A 22014-nucleotide genomic window follows, 5' to 3' on the forward strand; every position below is an offset into this window, starting at 1 on the left:
GGCGTGGTGGTGGGTGCCTGTAGTCCCAGCTACTCGGGAGGCTGAGGCAGGAGAATGGCGTGAACCCAGGAGGCAGAGCTTGCAGTGAGCCGAGATCGCTCACACGCACTGCACTCCAGCCTGGGCAACTGAGCAAGACTCCGTCTCAAAAAAAAAAAAAAAAAAAAAGAAAGAAAAGAAAGGGTAAAGATAAATATTAGTAGGCAATTATGAATCTCTGTTCCTCAAGCCAAAACAGAGAGACAAAGAACTTGTGATTTAAATCAGTATGGAAGAGTTATGCCTACAAATAATCTATTCAGCATACAATTCAGCTGTGGATCCATGGGAAAAGAAAGGGGTACAGAAAGGTAAGATGTGCAATAGAGGAGGAATATCTTAATCTGCTTTGCTCTGATTATTTGACTATTCAGAAAGGCTTGTGAAAATATACAGACTAGGTTAATTATCTTGGAAGTGGGTGATTTAAGGACATACACACACATGTTTGCACAAGTGCACACACAATACATGCTCATTACTTTTCTGGTTTTATACTTCATTTCTGATTATATATACAGGCTTCCATCAGCTCCCAGAGATTTAGAACTTCAAACTGAGACAGGATTATACAGAATTTATTTTACTGAAAGACGAAACTATGGTAAGCTTGCGTAAAGATAGTTTATTCTTTTAAGTTTGCAAAATCCCACCAGAAATATGGAGATCAAAGTTTGCATTAAAGGTAAGATAGAACAATAATAATCTAATTTCTTATTAAAACTGAGCACCAAAGTCCAAAAACTATGCTATTAATTAACATTGTGGCTGTGATATCCATTGAGGTAATATCTTCCCTTTAGCTTTATTATTCTATCATAAAATATTGAACTTACATAAATATCTTCAGACCTCAACAATTTCAATATAATATGCTCGAATTTTCCCCAAAATCTAACTAAACTCAAGTGTTAGCCATTAAAACTAAAATTATACTCAGTTGTTCTTTCATTTTATGTGACCTATTTCAGTAATGATTACAACTCACCATTCTTCTTGTCTTCTTGAATACACCTATTAAAGATTACATCAATGAAATGTCAAAATAATCCATTTGGTTATGAGATAAAATAAGCTTGAAGAAGTTATTGAAAGCGTATGAACAAATGTTTAACTTTCTACGTATTATTTTGAAGTTCTCTGGAGTATACATACAAATACTCTTAAATTTTCAAAACTTTAAAATAATAAGCAAGTCAGGAGACTTCTGATACTTGATAAAATAGTGACTAGCACATGCTTTTGGTTTTCTCCCATATAGTCTACTCCAGAGAAATCACAGAAGCAATACAGAGAATAGATTTGAAGAATTAATACTAAAAAGTGGGAAACCTGGGAGATCAAAGGCTTCTGTGAATTAGCGCATGTAAAAGAGAGAGAGAGCAGAGACAGAAGAGCTAGCATGTGGGTTAGCAGTGTCCTGGGAGAAAGGTGTATTGCAGTGTAAGACTGAAGTGGGAGAAAATTTTAAAATTCTAACCTTAGAACATGATCTTGGTAATGCCATTGCTTGTCATTACCACATTAATATATAGCAACATCCTAAGCATTGACCCTGATGGCCTGAATTGCTGCTGGAGCAAGGTGGCAAGTTAATTGATTCATGTCTACCTTCTTCAAATTCAAGAGTTGGTGACACGGCATTTAGAAAAATAAGTATTCAGAAAAGCCTTCTTATCTAAGAGTATTTTTTAGAAGAAATTACTAACCATCTACCAGGATCCATTCAAAGTTTCTTTAATTATTATTATTTAATTATTTAAGTATTATTTAGGCTCTATTGAGCCTAAATTTTAGTAGTGCACAAGTCTTCCCTAATAGATAATGTATTTCTAAGCTTTCTTTGGAACTAAGTGTGCCTATATGATGCAATTCTGGTCAATGGAATAAGTGCAAATTATGTTTACAACTTCTAGATTAAGCCTTTGAAAAGAAAAAAATTCTATTTTACTTTCTTTTTAGCATATACATGACAACATCTATAGCAACAAACTTGGACCCAGGAACACTTTTGATCCAGATTCTTTTAATTACTTTTTGGCGAAGAAATATCCTAAGACTTGCCAACCCTGAACAACTACCTTTGAAACTATTGAAAGAAAGGACAATAAAATTCCACTGAATTTATGTCATCATAACAATGGGTCCCCTTGATACAGAAATTTAACCCCAGACCATAAGTGCTATGGTTTGAATATGGTTGGTTTGTCCTCACCTAAATTCATGTTGAAATTTGATTCCCAAAGTGTTAGTTTTGGGAGACAGAGCCTAGTGAAAGGTATTTGGGTCATGGGAGAGGATCCCTCATTAATGATGTGATGCTATGTGATAGTGAGGTCTCACTCCAGCAAGACTGGGTTAATTCTACAGAAATAGGTTAGTTGTTATAACGCAAGGCTTCTTTTCCTGTTTGGACCCTCTGCACATGTATCTGCTTCCCCTTTGACCTCCACCATGCAATGACCCAGCACTGAAGTGAAAGCTAGAAACAACGCCTGAACTTCTAAGTCTGCAGAACCATGAGCTAAATAAACCTCTTTTCCTTATAAATTACCCAGCCTCAGGTATCCTGTTACAGTAACACAAAGCAGACTAAGACAGAAAAAGTAGCTCAGAATATAAAGAGGAATCCAGTACCAGAGTACTCAGATAGAATGCCAAGGCATGGCATTCTAAATCAAAAGTTTTCTAAGGTTAAGGGTCTTGATTCTGAGTTCATTTCCTAAATATCACTTTGTTTCGCCAAGAAGGACACAATAAGGACCCACTTCCTATGAAACAATTACCAGAAGAAGTGTAGATGATACCACCAGGTCAGGATAAATGCACAAGACAAAATAACCTGATATCTGAGCAGTAAACTCATTATAAAGAAACATAACAAATGAATGTAACACACAAAGCTATACTTTTGTAACAGACAGAATAAGAATTTAAACTAATTATAATAAATTTCATGGAAGTTTATTATGAAAGAATAGAAGGTAATTTTAAAAACAGAAAAGAAATGATGAAGTAAAAAATGTATGATGGATGAGATAAAATCTGGTTAGAAACAGTTGAAGAATGAACAAGTGATATGGAAAATTATATTTAGAAACTTTGCAGAAGGCAACTGGAAAATATGGAGATGAAGGGTTAGAAATTGGGGGAAATAAAGTAGAATTGCCAGCATTTGGACACAGAATGCCAAAATAGTGCAAATATCTGAGGAAGTAGTAATAATAAGCACATAAAATTAATGGAGTTTAACATCTCATAGTAAAAGGACATATAATGCCAAACATTCATGTTAGAGCAAATCTATACCTACACGTGTTGCATTGAAATTTAAGTTTGTCAAGGTACAAGGAGCAAATTCTAGAAATTTCCAAAGTGGGAGAATTTTTGCAAATGTTTTTCAAAAACAGAAAAAAAAGCTAAAGATAGTAATTTATTTTATGAAACATAATCTCAGACAAGATCGACAATACAATAAAGAAAACTATAGGTTCAAGCAATACTTAAGTGAATCCAACAGTGTATTAAAACTAATGTATCATAATATAAAATTTATCACAAGAAGGCACTGATGATTCAACGTAAAAATCAGGCATTATAATTGATCACATTAATAGACTAAAATACAAATGTATGATTATTAACAGATGTAGACAAAACATTTGATAAAATTAATACTTGAAAATAGTTAACAAACAATAAGGAGATATTTCTAATATGGCAAAAGTTATTTGTCAAATACCTATTTAAATACATTCCATTTAGTACCAAGAAGAGGGTAGGGAATTTCATTATCATCACCACTCTTTAAGGTCATATTGGACGCCCAGGCTATGCTGTAAAATAATGGAAGGAAGGAGGGGGTGGGTGGGTAGATAATGAGAAAAAAAAGAAGAAAAGAAAGAAAGGAAATAATTAAAATATAAAGTTTTAAAGGAATTAGATTAAAATATTATTTGCAAATGATATCTACATAAAAATGATAGCATCAGAATTTACTAGAATTAGTAAGATAGTTGATTGTCTACTAGACTCAAAATGAGCATAAAAAATTAGCATTTCTTCTATATGGACAATAAGCTACTAGAAAATATATTTATATGATAAAAACATAAAAGTCTACATTTCTATAAAATTTCTATAAAATAGGAATTTATAGGGAAATAATCTGCTATAGCTCAATGGACTCAAAGAAAGTAATTAAATACAAGCTTTGAGTTAAAAAAATTCAAGATTCTTGTATTGAACAACTTAACGTTATATTGATGGAAAATTTCTGAAAATTAATTTGTAAGTTTATGCAATCCAAATCAAAACCCCTACTCTGTTTTTTGAAGAATTTGATTAATTTATTTTTAAAATAAAGTCTTAGAAATAGCTATCAAAAAAGCATAGAAAGGGATTTTTGTACATAGTATTATATAATATATTGCGCCCAGCAGAAAAATGTAATCTAACTGAGAATTCAGCATCAGACAGGTATGTGTCTGATGCACTGGAAAGACTATGTCCAATAGGTGTGACCTGGACAAAACTATACATTTTAGTCTCAGTATAAATTTACTGTAATTTTTATTTCTGTCTGAACTATTCAAAAATTTCTCATTTTTTCCAAATAACCAGAATTTGTTAAAACTTGGCTGTCTGATTATACTCATGAAACATATACTCATTTGACACGTCTCGCATTCCTCGTTGTATTAATTCACATATTTATTTATTCAATAAGTATGCCTCAGTGGAAATTCTTGGACTTGCAAGTTCAAATAGGACCAAAGAGGAATATCATAATATAGAACTAAGATGAAATCCTCATAATTGTGTTTTTTTCAAAAGCTTTATTGAAATATAATTGACACACAATAAACTACACATGGAAAATGGACAGCTAGGTAAGTTTTCATATATAGAGATATGGAACTGTGAAATCAACATGACAATCAAGATAATGAATATATCTATCACCACCCAAAATTTCCTCATACAACTTTATACCCTCTCCCTCTCATCCCACTCCAAAGCTCTTCCCTAGGCAACCACTGATCTGCTTACAGTAGCTACATATTTCTCATCATTATCTAGAATGTATATATAAATGTAACCATCCAAACCCTTTTTTGTGGCTTCTTTCACTCAGCATAATTATTTTGAGATTCACCCATGTTGTTACATTTATTAATACTCACTTTCATTACTGAGAAATATTCCCTCATATCGATATATCATATATGCCATTTGTGAATCAGGTTCTATAATTTCTGAATTTCAGAGATCCTCTTCATTTTATCTAAGTTGTAAAAACTATTAGGCATATAATCTTCATCATATTGCCTTATTATGTTTCAGTGTGTGAAGGGGTCTGTAGAGATGCCTTCCCTCCTAAATTCATGATATTAATAATTTGTGTCTGTGTGTGTGTGTGAATTCCTTATGTACCTGTAGTTCTGAGATATTACTACACTTTCACACTAGGTACATTGGCTTTTAGAAATTTGTTAAGTATTTTAGCTGAATTGTTTTCATTAACTTGTATGTTGTGAGAGGTTTGACCCACATAAGCAAGCATCCACATTCTGTCTCTCCTTGGAATGCAAACTACTTGTTTCTAGGCCAGTTTCTTCTGTAACTTCAGCTCTCTGATGAATTCAAAAAAATTATTTTTTTTTAGATTTAGCATTATTTTGTTATGTTCTTTATCAAAAGCAGGGACAGTGGGAGTAACTTCATGGTTTGTTGCACTTTATGAACTACAGTAAGAAATAATTGACAACCACAGAGTTATACCCAAACAATGTTTAATTTTTAAAATAAAATCTCTTTGTAACAAGTTATCTTTCCTTTTCCCTCTTAATCTTCTCATCTGAACAATGTAAATCAAATACTCATGAGTTTTGAGATGCAATAGTGGTCATGTAAGAGATTTTAGCCATATTAAAGATCCAAAGGCAGTGGAAAGCTATCAGAGACTTTTAAGCAGTACATGAAATGAATTGATGCTTTAAAAAAAAAAGTCAATTTGGCTTCTCCAAGAATGTATTCTAGGTTTAGTACTCATTAGGATGCATTGTATTTATTTATTTATTTATTTATTTATTATTAATTAATTATTATTATAATTTGAGATGGAGTCATACTGCGTCGCCCAGGCTGGAGTGCAGTAGCGCGATCTTGGCTCACTACAACCTCGCATCCCAGGTTTAAGCAATTCTCCTGCCTCAACCTCCCGAGTCATAGCTGGAATTACAGTTGCCCAGCACCGTGCCAGCAACTTTTTGTATTTTTAGTAGAGACGGGGTTTCACCATGTTGGCTAGGCTGGTCTTGATTCCCTGACCTCAAGTGATCCTCCTGTCTTGGCCTCCCAAAGTGCTGGGATTACAGGCATGAGCCACCATACCTGGCCTCATTAGGATGTATTTTAAAAATTCATAAAACAGTTAATCCTACCTTGGCAAAAGGATGACAGTGGCTACCAAGGACAGTGTATATATTTGAGTATAGTCGGAGGAAGGTAACTGTTAGGGAGAGAGAGTTTTCTCAGTTCTTCCAGTTTTTCTAGAGAAAACACTACCACTGCATTTATTTTTCCATAGGGAAAATTATAGAGGGAATACTTCTTGCTTCTCACTTAATCATTTTCATACCTCTTTTTGGGTCTGTCAGCTAGAAAGCGAGAGGCCTCCTAATGTGTTTACTTCTTGTGCTAAGAGGCCTGTCTTGGAAATCAAGTATATGATTCATCCACAGTGACTGGGTGGTAAGCCTTATTCAATGGTGAAGTATTTGTAAGCTCATTTTGCACACAATTTTAAATCAAATAATTGAGTCAAGCTTTTCTTTTTCAGAAAATACACAAATTTTTATATTGCATCTCTCTTTTTAATAAGCTCCTAACTCAGTATGGGACAACGAATATTATTTAGGGATCCTGACACTCCCAATAGTCATGATGCAGTTTGGGATATATGAAACTTCAAATTATCCATGATATCCAATTAGAGATGAAAAGTTGACAAGGGTACATACTGATTTGGAAATTAGAAGACAGTCCTAGGTTTAAACCATAAATATGGGATTTGTTAAAGGAAGAAGAACACATGAATTCATTTAGTGATTTTATGCATAGTGAAAATAGAATAGAAACCAGGACTGATGCCTGAAGACTCCAAAGTTTAAGGTCAAGAAGAGAGGGAGAAGAAACATCTCGAATCATAAAAAGAAATCTGTTAAAGTATGCGTAGAGGTCACAGAAGATACAGATAACATGTTTTCATTGTGTCTTCCAATATAAACATCACTTGCATAAATACAAAGCCCAATGTATATTTTTAAGCATTAATTAGTAATTGTTCTACCCTCTCACTGAAAGTCATTGGAGTTGTATGCAATAAAAGACATCAATATAACAAAAGAAATGCCACATCAAGTTAGAAGAAACAGAGCCAAATAGCAAACTACTTGGACTCTATTAAAAATATTAATACCCTACTACTTTGTAAGAATTGGGATTTTAAAATCAATTCGTTTATGCAGAAATTTTTGGATTAAAATTATGGTCAGCTAAGAAAATGAGGAAGCAAACTTATTTTTGAAAAGAAAGTATTTTGTAGTATAATAATATAAAAGGGTTATTTTTTTCTGTCTTTATACTAGAACAATTATACTAAAAAACATAAGATAGTGTAATTTAATATATGACATGAAAACAAATAAATATATAATTATGGAGCATTTTTACGATTGAGATAATTAATACAATAAAAGCTATATATGCAAACAGATATATTTGTGTGTTGTAGTTACCAATGAATTTTCAATACAGCTATTGAGTTATCAAAATATCTTTTGTATCCCTGAAATAGTTTAGTTTTAACTGACTTTTTACCCATATATTAGTCCATTTTTATGCTGCTGATAAAGGCATACTGGAGATTGGATGATTTGTAAAGAAAAAGCTGTTTAATGGACTCAGAGCTCCACATGGCTGGGGAGGTCTCACAATCATGGCTGAAAGTGAAAGGTACATTTTACATGGTAGCAGGCAAGAGAGACATGAGAGCCAAGTGAAAGGGGAAACCCCTTATAAAATCATCAGATCTCATGAGACTTACTCACTACCACAAAAACAGCATGGAGAAAACTGCCCCCATGATTCAATCATCTCCCACTGGGTCCCTCCCACAACATGTGGGAATTATGGGAGCTACAATGCAAGATGAGATTTGGATAGGGACACAGTCAAACCATATCACTCCACCTCTGGCCCCTCTCAAATCTCATGTCTCACATTTCAAAACCAATTATGCCTTCCCAACAGTATCCCAAAGTCTTAACTCATTTCAGCATTATCTCAAAAATCCACAGTCCAAAGTCTCATCTGAGACAAGTCCTTTCTGCCTACGAGCTTGTAAAATCAAAAGCAAGTCAGTTACTTCCTAGATACAAGGGGAGTACAGGCATTGGGTAAATACAGCCATTCCAAGTGAGAGAAATTGGCCAAAACAAAGGGGCTAGAGGACCCATGCAAGTTGGAAATCCAGCAGGGCAGTCAAATCTCAAAGCTCCAAAATGATCTCTTTTGACTCCATGACTCACATTCATGTCATCCTGATGCAAGATGTCAGTTCCCATGGTCCTCGGAAGCTCAGCCATATTGCTTTGCAGGGTACAGCCACCCTCCTGGCTGTTTTCATGGCTGGAGTTGAGTGTCTGCAGCTTTTCCAGGGTCACAGGGCAAGTTGTCAGTGGCTCTACAATTCTGGGGTCTGGAAGACAGTCGCCCTCTTCTTACAGCTCCACTAGGCAGTGCAGCAGTGAGAACTCTGTGTGGGGGCTCCAACTCCACATTTTCCTTCCACACTGCTCTAGCAGAGGTTCTCCATAGGGCCGTGCCCCTGCAGTGAACTTCTGTCTAGAAATTCAGGTGTTTTCATACATTCTCTGAAATCTAGATGGAGGTTCCCAAACCTCAATTCTTGACTTCTATGTACCTGCAGGCTCAACACCACATGGAAGTTGCCAAAGCTTGGGGCTTGCACCATCTGATGCCATGCCCAAGCTGTACCTTGGCCCCTTTAGCCATGGCTGGAACAGCCAGGATGCGGGGCACCAAGTCCCTGGGTTGTACACAGCAGGGGGCCCTGGGCCTGGCCAATGAAATCATTTTTTCCTCCTAAGCCTCCAGGCCTATGATGGGAGGGGCTGCCAACAAAGGTCTCTGACATGCTCTGGAGACATTTTCCCCCTTTTCTTGGTGATTAACATTTGCCTCCTCCTTACTTATGTAAATTTCTGCTGCCAGTTTAAATTTATCCTCAGGAAATGGGTTTTTCTTTACCATTGTATCATCAGGCTGCAAATTTTCTGAACTTTTATGTCTCAGAGGGAGATGAGGAACTTGTTGGGAACCGGAATAAAGGTGACTTTTGCTATGTTTTAGCAAAGAGACTGGTGGCATTTTGCCCCTGCCCTACAGAGTTGTGGAACTTTGAACTTGAGCAAGATGATTTAGGGTATCTGGTGGAAGAAATTTCTTTTTCTTTTTTTTTTTTTTTTTTTCTGAGCTAGAGTCTCGATCTGTTGCCCAGGCTGGAGTGCAATGGTGCAATCTCAGCTCACTGCAACTTCCACTTCCTGGGTTCAAGCGACTTTCCTGCCTCACTTTCCTGAGTAGCTGGGTTTAGCTGGGATTACAGGCACCTGCCACCACGCCCGGCTAATTTTTGTATTTTTAATAGAGATGGGGTTTCACCATGTTGGTCAGGCTGGACTTGAACTCCCGACCTCATGATCCACCTGCCTTGGCCTCTCAAATTTCTGGGATTACAGGCATAAGCCACCACACCTGGCCCATCTAGTGGAAGAAATTTCTAAGCAGGAAAGTATTCCAGATGTGACTTGGGTGCTGTTAAAAGCATTCAGTTTAAAAAGGGAAACAGCTCAGCCTGGATTTCATTGTCCATATCATTGTCAGCATTTTTGTTAAAGCCGTTCAGCAAGTTTCTAGGAAGTTCCAAACTTTCCCACATTCTCCTGTCTTCTTCTGAGCCCTCCAAGCTTTTCCAACCTCTTTCTGTTACCCAGTTCCAAAGTCAATTCCACATTTTGGGGTATATTTACACAGCAGCACCCCACTCTACCAGTACCAATTTACTCCATTAGTCCATTTTTCATGCTGCTGATAAAGACATACCTGAGACTGGGTGATTTATACAAAAAAAAAAAAAAAAAAAAAAAAAAAAAACGTTTAATGGACTCACAGTTCCATGTGGCTAGGGAAGTCTCACAATCATGGTGGAAGGCAAAAAAGGCACATCTTATATGGTGGCAGGCAAGAGAGTAATGACAGCCAAATGAAAGGGCAAAACCCTTACAAAATCGTCAGATCTCATGAGATTTACTACCAGGAGAACAGTATGGGGGAAACTGCCCCCACGATTCAATTATCTCCTACTGGGTCCCTCCCACAACATGTGGGAATTATGGGGGCTACAATTCAAGATGAGATTTGGGTAGGGACACAGCCAAACCATATCAACTTATATTCTATCATGTATCCATCAAGTACTTATGGTTATTGCACCATTTTCCTATACTATCTATTGCATACAATAAACATATCTTAATAATTTTATATATATTTATATTCATAATGACTAACAGCTGCCTTGCCTACTTGGTTTATTAGCATATTCACATTAAATTCTTTTGGATCAAACTGCCACATTAGCAGTGAACTTTTCTACCAGGCTGCCTTCCTAGAATTGTCTCATTATCCCTAGAGTTTACACAATTTGAGTTCAGTCCAATTTCTACACACTAGGGAGAGAGAGGAAAAAAAAATCTTGAATTATATTGAAAATATTTGCAGCAGGTGTTTAATTCTTTTACTCAACACCCATTACAATATATCTCTACCTTACCTTTTGTATAGCAGTGTCCAGAAAACTAAAAAAAAAAAAAAAAAAAGTCTTTAACTTGTGCTAAGTGCAGAAATGTCATTTTAAATTTCTGGCAATGCAATCATGCAAGAAAAAAGCAAGAAAGAATAAAGTTGAAGAGTCTCTTCCTTCTGTGTGGCTTTTAATAACAAACTATGGGGTTTTGTATTGGAATTTTAAAGGTTACCTTATTTATACAAAAAATCTGAGGTCTACATTACAATTACCCAAGGAAGCATAATGAAACTAACCGTTTCTGAAAAGAAGCTCTTTTATAATAAAGTAGTAGAAAATAATGGGTGATGAAAGGGGTTGGATAGCAATGGTGAAGTTTTAGTGTGCTGGCCTTAGTTTCCCAGCTGTTGAGCTGCCAGAAGCAGTGGCAGTTGCATTTTTATTAGAGTAGTACAATGGTGTTTCAGAAATCTTTTCAAGCTCTTTTGGCAAGGTTTTGTGGTCATTTTGAAGACTCTGCAATTTATGCAATGTCCCATATAAGAATATTTTCTAAATAAAGCGGAGTCTCTGGTATCTGAATCTAAAAACAGTAAGCAGTATGGTTATTGGTACCATTATTAAAAGCAAGGTATTTGTTCATTATTAAGGACAAGAAAGGAAGGCAAGAAAGGTGGACTACGCTGTCTGAAGCTAACAATGCTGGGAAGCTCAGAGAAAGATACTGACAGCCCCAAGGTGTTATACCTTCAGGCAAACTCAGGGTCAGGAAACTAGGGAGCTCTTTTCTTTTTGTAGCCACAGGATTTACATACTTAAAAACTGGATTCATAGTTTTACCCTGAACCTTCCTGAAATACAAGATACATTGAATTTAAAGCCTCATCAAATCTCCTATATAAAAAATAAAGACATTGTTTGGGATAGAGGAGAATTTCAAAATTCAAAATGGACCCACTTGGCATAGTTGAAGCAAATCTATTCTCAGGTGACTTTGTGTGTCTAATCAAACACATAGCTATGATATTCTTGGGAGAATTATATTTAAAGTTATGCCTCACTCAGAAAGCTAGTACATAAAATATAAAATAAAAATGTATCTTTACAATTATACCTCTGTGCTTCCTAATTTTATTGCTTTGAGGTCTTTTTACCCATAATATTAACGAGAGTACATTTATATGATAATATTTTACCCTGAAACCTATACATTTAATTACATAAACTATAATTTTACTTCAGTTTCAAAATTTATTTCAGATGTTAAAATGACATATTAACACAGGGATATGTGAGTAATAAAATAAGCATCCAGAATGCAAAGTCAATATCAGTGCTTCATTAATTAATCTACAAGAATGCAAGAATTAGGTTTTAAATCAGAGCTTTTTACTTATATATAGTTATAATAAAACAAATGGAAGTAGTAAGATTATTTCATATATAAACTCTAATTCAACCAAAGTGTTTCTTCATCCAGAGGCATGAACATTGATTGGGAATAAGGATGGCATAAATATACTTGAGAAACTCAGTTATATTTTATACTACTGCAATCACCTCTTGCTTGCCAAGCATTAACTCTTAGTCCTTTCATCTACTTTCCAGAAGTACACACCAGAGTGTCCTTTTCAAACATAATTTTAATTATGTCACTTCCATGGTTAATGTTCGTCAATAATTTCCAATTGTTCTTAAGACAACAACTACATTCTTCCTATGGCCTATAAGGTCTTGCGTGGTCTGATTCCTGCTTACCTATCTAGACTCATCTCTCACTGTTTTTCTTCTTGCTGTAAACTACCGCTGTGCTCCAGTACAATAGGTCCCAACCCCCATGGGGACTTTGTGTAGTGATTTCCTGAAACAATTCCCACTCTCTCCTCAACTTAGGTAACCTATATTCACCCTTCATTTTCTCAGAAAAGCTGTCCCTTGACTTTTGGACTAATTTATATTTCTTTTTTACTTGCACTCATAGCATCACGTGTTTTGCTTTGATGACTTATTTTTTATCTGTAATGTTTGATAAAGTCTCTCCTATTATACTCTGAGTTCCATGAATGTAAAAATTTATCCTATCTTTGTATTATTATTGTTAATGATTACAAAGTAAATGTCCATAATTAGAACTGTGCAGAGTTGGTACTTATTTAATGCATTTTGCATAAAGAAATGATTTCTATTACCATTTTATGTATATATTTTAACAATAATAAAATACTTTTTTCTATTTATTTAGTGCATACAGTGTAGTTTGCTCATACAGATGTGGTCCCATGAAAAGGTTATGCCCAGATATTGTTCTCATGTGTCCTACCTACTACCTTTGTAGCTCCTAGAAAAGGTTAAGCTCAAATGCAGTTGCTGTTATCCAGCGTGTTCATTTATAGATACAATTCAAGATCAAGATCACTCAATGGAATGCAATTAATGAGAGTATCTTGTGGAACTAATGTAAAGAAATGCTCACTGATGGGGTAACAGTAAAGTCATCCCACGATATTCTCAGGAAACTGATTCCAGAACTCCCCTCAGATTCCAAAATCTACAGATGCTCAAGTCCCTTATATAAAGTGGCAAAGTATTTGCATATAACATATGCACATCTTTCTGTATACTTTAAATTATCTCTAGATTACTTTACATAATACAACGTAAATTATATGTAAAGAGTTGCTATACTGTATCATTTTTTATTTCTATTGTTTAGTATTATTTACATATTTATTCATTTTTGACTACTTTAGAGCTGCAGTTGGTTGAATCCACTGATGTGGAACCTGTGGATATGTAAGGCTGACTATAGGTAGAAAAGAAAGTAAATAAATTCATTTTTTTGAAACTAAATAGCAATCAATAAGAAGAGAAAATAAATTCAGCTTATTATTTGATAAATATTTATTCAGCTCTTAGTATGTTATTTGTATCCAGGATCTAGTGGTAAAGAAGACAATTTGGGTCTAATACAAAGTTTAGCTTATTTTCTATACTGAAAACTTGTACCAAATTTATGAAAATAAGCTAAAATTGATATGGATTCTTAGTGTAGATTAAAAGTTAAATCAGTAAAAAATGTTCAGCAGATTGCAGGTAAAGATCTAAATGGAATTAAATGTATTTCTATTATAAGTAAGATGAACAAAAGCATGTAAATAATTATTTAAGAATCATATTTGTGTTTGTGGGAAGAACAAATAATAAAAAATACAAAGATCAGAGTAAAGAAAATCCATAAGAGGACTACCTTGGAAATTAAGATGGTCAGAAATAGAACAAAGAACGTGGGCAACAAACAAAGAAATGACAAGGTAAGTTTTATATCCACGGATACCAAAGGTTCAGTAAAAGAGTTGTAGGTTAATAAACGATGTGTAGTACCCGAAAATGAAGAAAGATTAAAAATTATTTGACAGGTTAAACTACAATTATTTGAAATGTTAAAACATATACACTCTCCATAATGTATCCTCAAGTCAGATTGCTATGGATAAGAACAAACAAGGAAAAGCGGCAAATTTAAAAAATTAAAAATAAAAATGAGACTTGAGCATCTGTGGATTTTGGAATCCAAGGGGTGTTCTGGAAATAAATATGGCCAATAAATTAGAGGTAATGATTTAGATCCCATAATTCTAACACAGAGAGAAAGCCAAATGATACAACTGTAAAAGAAAGACAAAATCTAGGAAATCATTGAGACTTACCCTCATAAATCTACATGTGGGAGTCAGTATTAAAAATTATTATTTAATAGCTTCTGTGCTCATGTTACTAAAATGAGACAGATTTGAGAAGAGGAGAATAGGAAATTTAGTTAAAGGTACTCCTATATCTTTCAAGCTTTGTTGCAGAGAACAGAATCCTTTTTAGCTAGTATAGCACAATGGCATTTTATAAGAATGGCTATCTTACATAATTTCTAGGACATAGAATCAAACTTATATACTATACAGTCAGGGACAAATGAAGCTGTGTGAAACACTTAACTGTATGCAGAAACAATTGCTAAAGATGCTGCCACTCGCTAGAGACCAGTAACCGGTTCTTTGTCACAGATGCCTAAGAAGAAAAGCCACTCGACAAAGTTCTGTCTGGAAACAGATACCGCTTCACGTTGCTCTGCTTTGTCAAAATATCATACTGCAGACTAACTGCAAATAAATCTGGCAAATGTAGTTTTTGGCTTTCCAGCATTCATGGTACCAGAAGACATGCTAGAGGGGATTGGAATAGGTGTGGAGAGCCAAACTGTTGTATTTACTGCAACCTGGCATTCACTGGCTCTATTCATCAGGATCCCAACATTATAAAAGGAATGTAATATGAGATATATTATGACAGGCATTCTAAAAAAGCTCTGGGGATAGAACTCTAAGGTAAGTAGAGGTTAGCTAAGCAGGACCATAATAGATATGCTTTTAATTATTAGTTTCTCCAAATGGCTGTAGAAAGTAGGGAGGTTAGGAGTGGTGGGCAGGATGGAATATAAAACTGGTATATTTAAACGATAGATGATTATGGTGATCTCAGAATACAAACTGTCAAAAAGTAGTTTAAAAAATATTTGGCCTATGAACACGAGCTATAGTGTGGCTAAATGCGTAAGATTTTGGTTAAAAAACAATATGCAGATCAGTTAACCTCAAGAGGGTTGTGAAGGCAAAGCTCACAGGGCGTTTATTACCTCACTGAGGTTTTTAATTAACATGAATCAGCAAATTCTATTTGGAATGAAAACCTCGGAAGACAATAATTCAAGAAGATACAAAGGACACAGAGTTTGTGAATTCGGTTGGTAGATGCCAATTTAAATTTAAGTTTGAGAAGGCAGGATTGATTGTATTTAGGAGGAAAATCATCTGAATAGATGCTGGAGATCAGTCAAGGTAATAGATTCAGCTTAGTTTGTTAATTATATATCATGAGGTGCTAGAATAGGTTAAAAACTTTAAGTTCATTAATCATTACAGAAATACCTCTTGAGAAGACAGGAATAATCCCAAGGGAACATCGAGATGTGGTTATCTTACATTCTTGTGTTAGTCTGTTTGGGCTGCTATAACAAAATTCCCAGGCTTGGTAGCTTATAAACAACAGAAAATTATTTCTCACATTTATGGAGGCAGATAAATCCAAGATTATGGCACCGGCAGATTCCGTATCTAGTGAACGGCCATTTCCTTGTTCGTAGATGGCAACTTCTAACTGTGTCCTCAGATGACGGAAGAGGCAAGGCAGCTCACTTGGGCCTCTTTTATAAGGGAACTAATTCCATTCATGAGGACTGTACCTTTATTACCTAATCGCTTCCCAAGGCCTCACCTCCTAATAGCATCATGTTGGGGGTTAGGATTTCCCCATAAGAATTTTGGAGTGACAACTTTCAGACCCTAGCAAAGACATAACATAGGCTGCAGGTGAGTCCCAATGAGATTTGAGGTTTCTGAAGTGCACCAAGAAACTGCAGATAACACATTCTATTCCAGAAAGTAATGGTAGATATTAACTTACTGAGAGATAACAAATTATGTTTCTGCAATGTTCACATGTTTTAGAAAGGCTAGTTCACAAACCTAATGTTTCTTGGAGTCTTGGAGTCTTACTAATTTTATGTAGCCCATTATAAGCTACAAATTCAAATTGTTGTCATAATAGCAGTTTACACAGATATGATAACAGAAGGGACTCTTGAAAAACTATAATTATCTTAATTATAGCAAATTGATTCATTTCTTCAAGAAATATTTAATGATTGCCACATTCTAGGCACTGTGTTACAACAGTAAGAAAAAAAAATATCTCTGATCTTTTAAAACTTTTAATCTGGAGCTCCAAGACAGATGGCTTTATGTGCTATGAAGAAAAATAAGACAGGATAAGGGAGATCGAGATTGGAGTGATGAGAAGGGGATTTATATTCCATATAGAGCATTCAGTCAAAGTCTCAGGAACATTGTAGTAGGAACCTAAAAGATGGAGTAAGATGTGGTTGTTTAAGAGATGAGAATTCTAATTAGAATAAAAATCAGGGTAAATGACTTGTGACAGAAGCATGATTTTTATAATCAGTAAGAAAGGATGTTTATCTGCCTGGAATGGAGTATAAAAGGAGAGAAGAGAAGTGAAGTCAAGAGCTAGAAGGCCAGTTCAAAATGTGCTGTCCATGGGAACAGAGTTCTGAAATGAGTTCTAATTTTATCATACATATACTTCTTTTTAGAACAATTTTTTCTTAAATGTCTGACATATAACAGAAATGTAGAAATTTGTAAAAATTGCTTTTAGATTTGTAATAGTTAATGAAAGTATTAAATGTATTAAATAAGGTCTAAAAATTGTTTTGCTTGTTTTTTTAAAGAGTGATAACATATTAACTTACTCAAATATCAAATGTAAAGTATTTAAAAAAGCTTGACACTAATGGGGAATGGAAAATTCCCATAAAATGAAAAAAAAAAAAACTAGTACTACTACAACATTTGATATTGATTTAGTAACATTATATATTGTGTTAAATATTGGCCATATGATAAAAATAAGCACAGTATGCCTTACAAGTATGTAAAGTCTTTTATATGCAATACCACAATAACAAAATATGAATAATAGTAGTCAGAATGGGATAGGACCAAATTTTGGTTTCTGTTGAAAATATGGTGTCTGTGGGAGCAGAGTTCTGAAACAAGTTCTAATTTTAACATACATCCCATTTTCAGCAGGAGAGCACTAACTGTACTTCATCCTCTATTTTCTACTGTGCAAATATGCCTTTTACTTTGAACGCTTGTCCATCAAGGTGGAATATAATCTGCCTCGCTCAGACACCCGCCATTTACAATGTGCTTTCATTTACAATGTTCCAAAGGGGTTCTTTTTAAAGCAAATGTTTGCTGAAGGCTAGCATTCATGTAGAAAAGTTCACAAATTCCAAGTCTAAAGACTTCATGCATTTTTGCAAAGTGAACCTATCATGTAACTGCTACTATCATAAAGATAGTGAGTAGGTGGTCACTGAAGCGTGTGGCCTGGAATTTAGAATTTGATGAAACACGGTACAAGCAAGAAGGGGGCTCTGTGGTAAGCATCACAGAACCTGAAAGAACACCAAGATCACAGAACTTATTCGCCTCTTGAAAACATTTTAGAGAGTAAAACACATAATATCACTAGTATACCAGGTATAAACAATAAAATAGAGGTAAAGTATCCAAGATCCTTAGAATTTGATAGAAGTGGTTAAAATAGTTCTTAAGAAAACATAATAAAACAATGTAATATCTAAAAGAACAAATTTTTGAAAAGTGTAAGGCAAACCTTTCTCTTATTTTCTCCACATTACTATTACTGCATAAAATGGGATTTTTAAAAATAACTTTCCTACTTTGGGACAGTACCTGTGAAGCCTAATCATTCCTTCACACAGGAAAATAAGCAACATTTCAGGAGAGATTAGGGAGCTTATTATGCATTAAGTTATTTTATTCTGGAGGTGAGGCTTCAAAAAGCAACCTGATGGACCATTGGCATGCTACAGAGTAATAGGTTGTGAGTTCCCAAAGATAAAGACTTTCTGCCAGTATGAACTAATTTAATTTATTTTCAGGGGAGAATACATATTTGTTTGAGACAGAAGGCTTAAGTCTTGTATAGGTTAAAGTTAAATATGAATAAAGTGCTTGAAGCCTCCACATGCTAACAAGTAGAAAAATGTATAGAGTAACTACAGAGACTTGGAAAAAAAATAAAATGTAAGCCCAATGAGTCTCAGTTTTTTTTTTCTCAAAAGGCTCAATAATCCATACCTCATCTAACTATTTTTATCTTACAATTGTGCGTTTGACATTCTCTTTGACATATCAACTAAACTGACTCCATTCTTGTATTCCTCTGTCTTTTTCACCCAAACTTTTTTTCTGTTTCTATCTGAAATTCCTACTTTATTATCAAAAATGCATCCCACCTTCAATTTCTTTAATGATTATTTCCTGCTTCTTCCATTCTTAGGAGAAACTAGCTTCCCCTGCAGTACTATCAGGTAGCAACTGATCTTTCTCTAATAGTTTGTACACTGCACTGTGTAGAAGTGGAACTCTTGTCTTCCTCACTCTGAGTCTCTGCTGAACAAGTAAGATTCTGCTAACTTATAAACAGGCAAAATAAACAACAAAACCAACAAATATGCACATGCACACATACAACTCAAACTTCTTTCTTGAGTTTTGTCTACTACAATAGTCTAATTTTGACTATTATTTACAAATATCCTGATTGTGCCTCCTCATTTGCTGAAACAATTGGATCCTGTTGAGTCATGCAGTTGCTTTGGCCCACACAACACGTTGAACTCAGTTTGCCGAGGTCTCATCATCTTCAAACATCCCCTCTACTTCACTCTAACTTTTCTCCATAGCTACAATGTGATATTTACCTTAATCTGCTCTACTTTTCAGTAATTTGAAATCCTATTCTGTGAATGAATTTCCATTTCTTCCACTTTACTCATTAAATACTCTCATCTAAAAACCTCATGTGTACCTCTAATATGCACACATTTCTGTTTATTTGCTGACAACCCTTAAAATTTTGATTTCATGAGCCAAGCTTTCTCATTATTCTCTTGCCATTATTTTAATCCCCTTGATTCTTAGTCTCTCTATTATATTTATCCATAAAAACTATAGTTGAAGACAAATCAAACTTTTTTTTTTACATTTTCTCTGCTCCATGGACATAATCATAAAACAGGGATGCCTGGTTTTAGTATAAATTCATGGTCACCAAACTCAAATCACCACTTAAAGCTGCCAAGCGCCTTTATTTAGTTCCCTTTTCCCATATCCTAAAGAAAACTATTTCAAACTTTCACTCCTCTCAGATCTCTGAGTACCCCCCCACATCTCATCCATGGTCTTCAACAAATAACTTTGTATCCTAAAAGAAAAAAAAAAGTAAAAGAAGAATGGAAGGAAGGAAGGAAGGAAGGAAGGAAGGAAGGAAGGAAGGAAGGAAGGAAGGAAGGAAGGAAGGAAGGAAGGAAGCAGGCAGGCAGGCAGGCAGGCAGGCAGGCCCAGAGCTTATTCAATTTCTAACAAAAGTATTTACAAATATTTTTGCTTGGAAAATCATAGTTTATTCTCTTATACTAAAACACAGCACTTTTTTCCTCTGCTGAGATCAATCCCTTCACCTATTTTTTACCTTTTATGTATGCACATTATATTCTAATGGTCTCTCATACTTCTACGTTCTCATCCTATTCCTTTGTACTAATATCTTTCCATCAATATGATCAGATCACCATGTCTAATGGCACTGCCCAGACCTCACTAGTATCTCTTTTGTTTTACAATGAATATTTTGAAAGTATGGCTCTTATTATCTATTTCTATTTCTTATTATTTTACTCATTTCTCAACTGACTGCAACTTCCAGCCGTCCATATGACGAAAACTGCACTTGCTAAGTCACACATGGAATCCATGTCTCCAAAACAAATAGGTGTTTTTCTAACCACCAAATTGGTCACTTTGGAGGTATTTTACTTACCCCTTTGTTTCTGAGACACTAATTATTTCTGGCATTTCTTCTATACATCTGTTTGCTTCCTTTCAGGCTTTTTTTTTTTTTTGTCAGTTTCTCTTTTTTTCCCCTCTGCTTCTTGATACTTTACTCACCCCATACTGTACTTTTAGTCAATCCCACACATCCAAACTTATAACCTGCATATTTGTGACTCTCAATTCTGTGCTTTAGTTATAGCCATCTGTTTGTACTTCCAAATCTATACACAATATTAAAAATACCTTGCACGTTGTATATGTCAAGCACTGTTTACAGTAATTTGCATATATTTTCACAGTATCCAATGAGGTAGGTATATGGAGTATTCTCATTATTATATATAGATAATAAAACGGAAACAAAGAATACAAATAACTTACTCAAGTGTACACAAGTTGTGGGAATGAAATTTAGATAATCCAGTTAGTCTCCAGCCTATGTTCACGACTACCACACTACAGTACTTCCCCAACTTGCCTAGCTGATATTCCCATATGGATGTCCCCAAAGATTATCAACTCAGCACGTCCAATGTTGAATTCATGCTATTATCTAATATTAATCATTTTGTAGTTGTTCTATTATCAATAAATGACATTTTCTATTTAGCAGATAAAGAGAAAAACCTGGATTTATACTTCACACATTCCTTCCCAGGACAATTCATATTCATCAATCCATTGTGTTTTAATGATTTTAGAGTTTAACAACTCCTTTAGTGCCACATTACCACGACTCAAAATAAAAAATCTCTTGCCTAGGTTGCTATAATACTTTTCTAACTTGCTTCTTTACATCCAGCCTCAAACACCAATTATTTTCCCTTACTGGAATATTCAAATCACATGCTATTCCAGTGCTAACAACTTATTAAATTGCCTCAAACTATTTTTAAAATAAAGTCTAAGGTTCTTTATATGGACCACACTTTACTCCTTTATTGACACTAGACAATATTCCACGTGGTAGACTCTCTCTCAACCTAGATATGTGGGTAAATATATACAATAAAGAGTCCTCTCCCCTTTCTTGAGGTACAATTTAACCAAGAGAAATAAATTTGAATGTATATGTTTTGATTTTGTTATGTTGACTATTATTAATACATAAGTCTAGGGAAATCTGATTAATACCCTGTACTCCTCCTCAGCAGTTGGCACCTTGAAATTATTTGATTATTTGTAAATTTTTATTTTAAAATGTATCTTGCTGGTAGACCATATCTTGATGGAGAGAGAAGTTTTAACAGTCCAACTTACTCCTGTGCCTAAATAAAAATAAATAATAGACAGTATACATAGATAGTGTATATATTTTTATATTATAAAAGTACACACATATGTGTGTGTGTATGTGTGTGTGAGTATTATATATATAAAGTCTCTGGCCCCATTAATCTTACACTCAAAAGAAAAAAAACAAATATGACCATTACTGTGCATGAAGTTTAGGTGGCTGATAATAAAATGGAAATGAATATACACTGCAGATAAGCATCAATATGTTAGAATTTTCCA

The 22014-nt window shown here is 34.6% G+C and overlaps 1 annotated feature.

Annotated features, from left to right (window-relative positions):
• Window positions 21516–21685: an enhancer, noted in NCBI's record as "experimental_74530 CRE fragment used in MPRA reporter constructs". NCBI's record gives its function as "activates a minimal promoter by MPRAs in K562 erythroleukemia cells, with activity observed for both the introgressed and non-introgressed 4:131457808 variant alleles {active_cell/tissue: K562}" and the evidence as "EXISTENCE:reporter gene assay evidence [ECO:0000049][PMID:34662402]".

The sequence above is a fragment of the Homo sapiens genome, chromosome 4 (genome assembly GCF_000001405.40).
Source record: "Homo sapiens chromosome 4, GRCh38.p14 Primary Assembly".
In the NCBI taxonomy this organism is placed as follows: domain Eukaryota; kingdom Metazoa; phylum Chordata; class Mammalia; order Primates; family Hominidae; genus Homo; species Homo sapiens.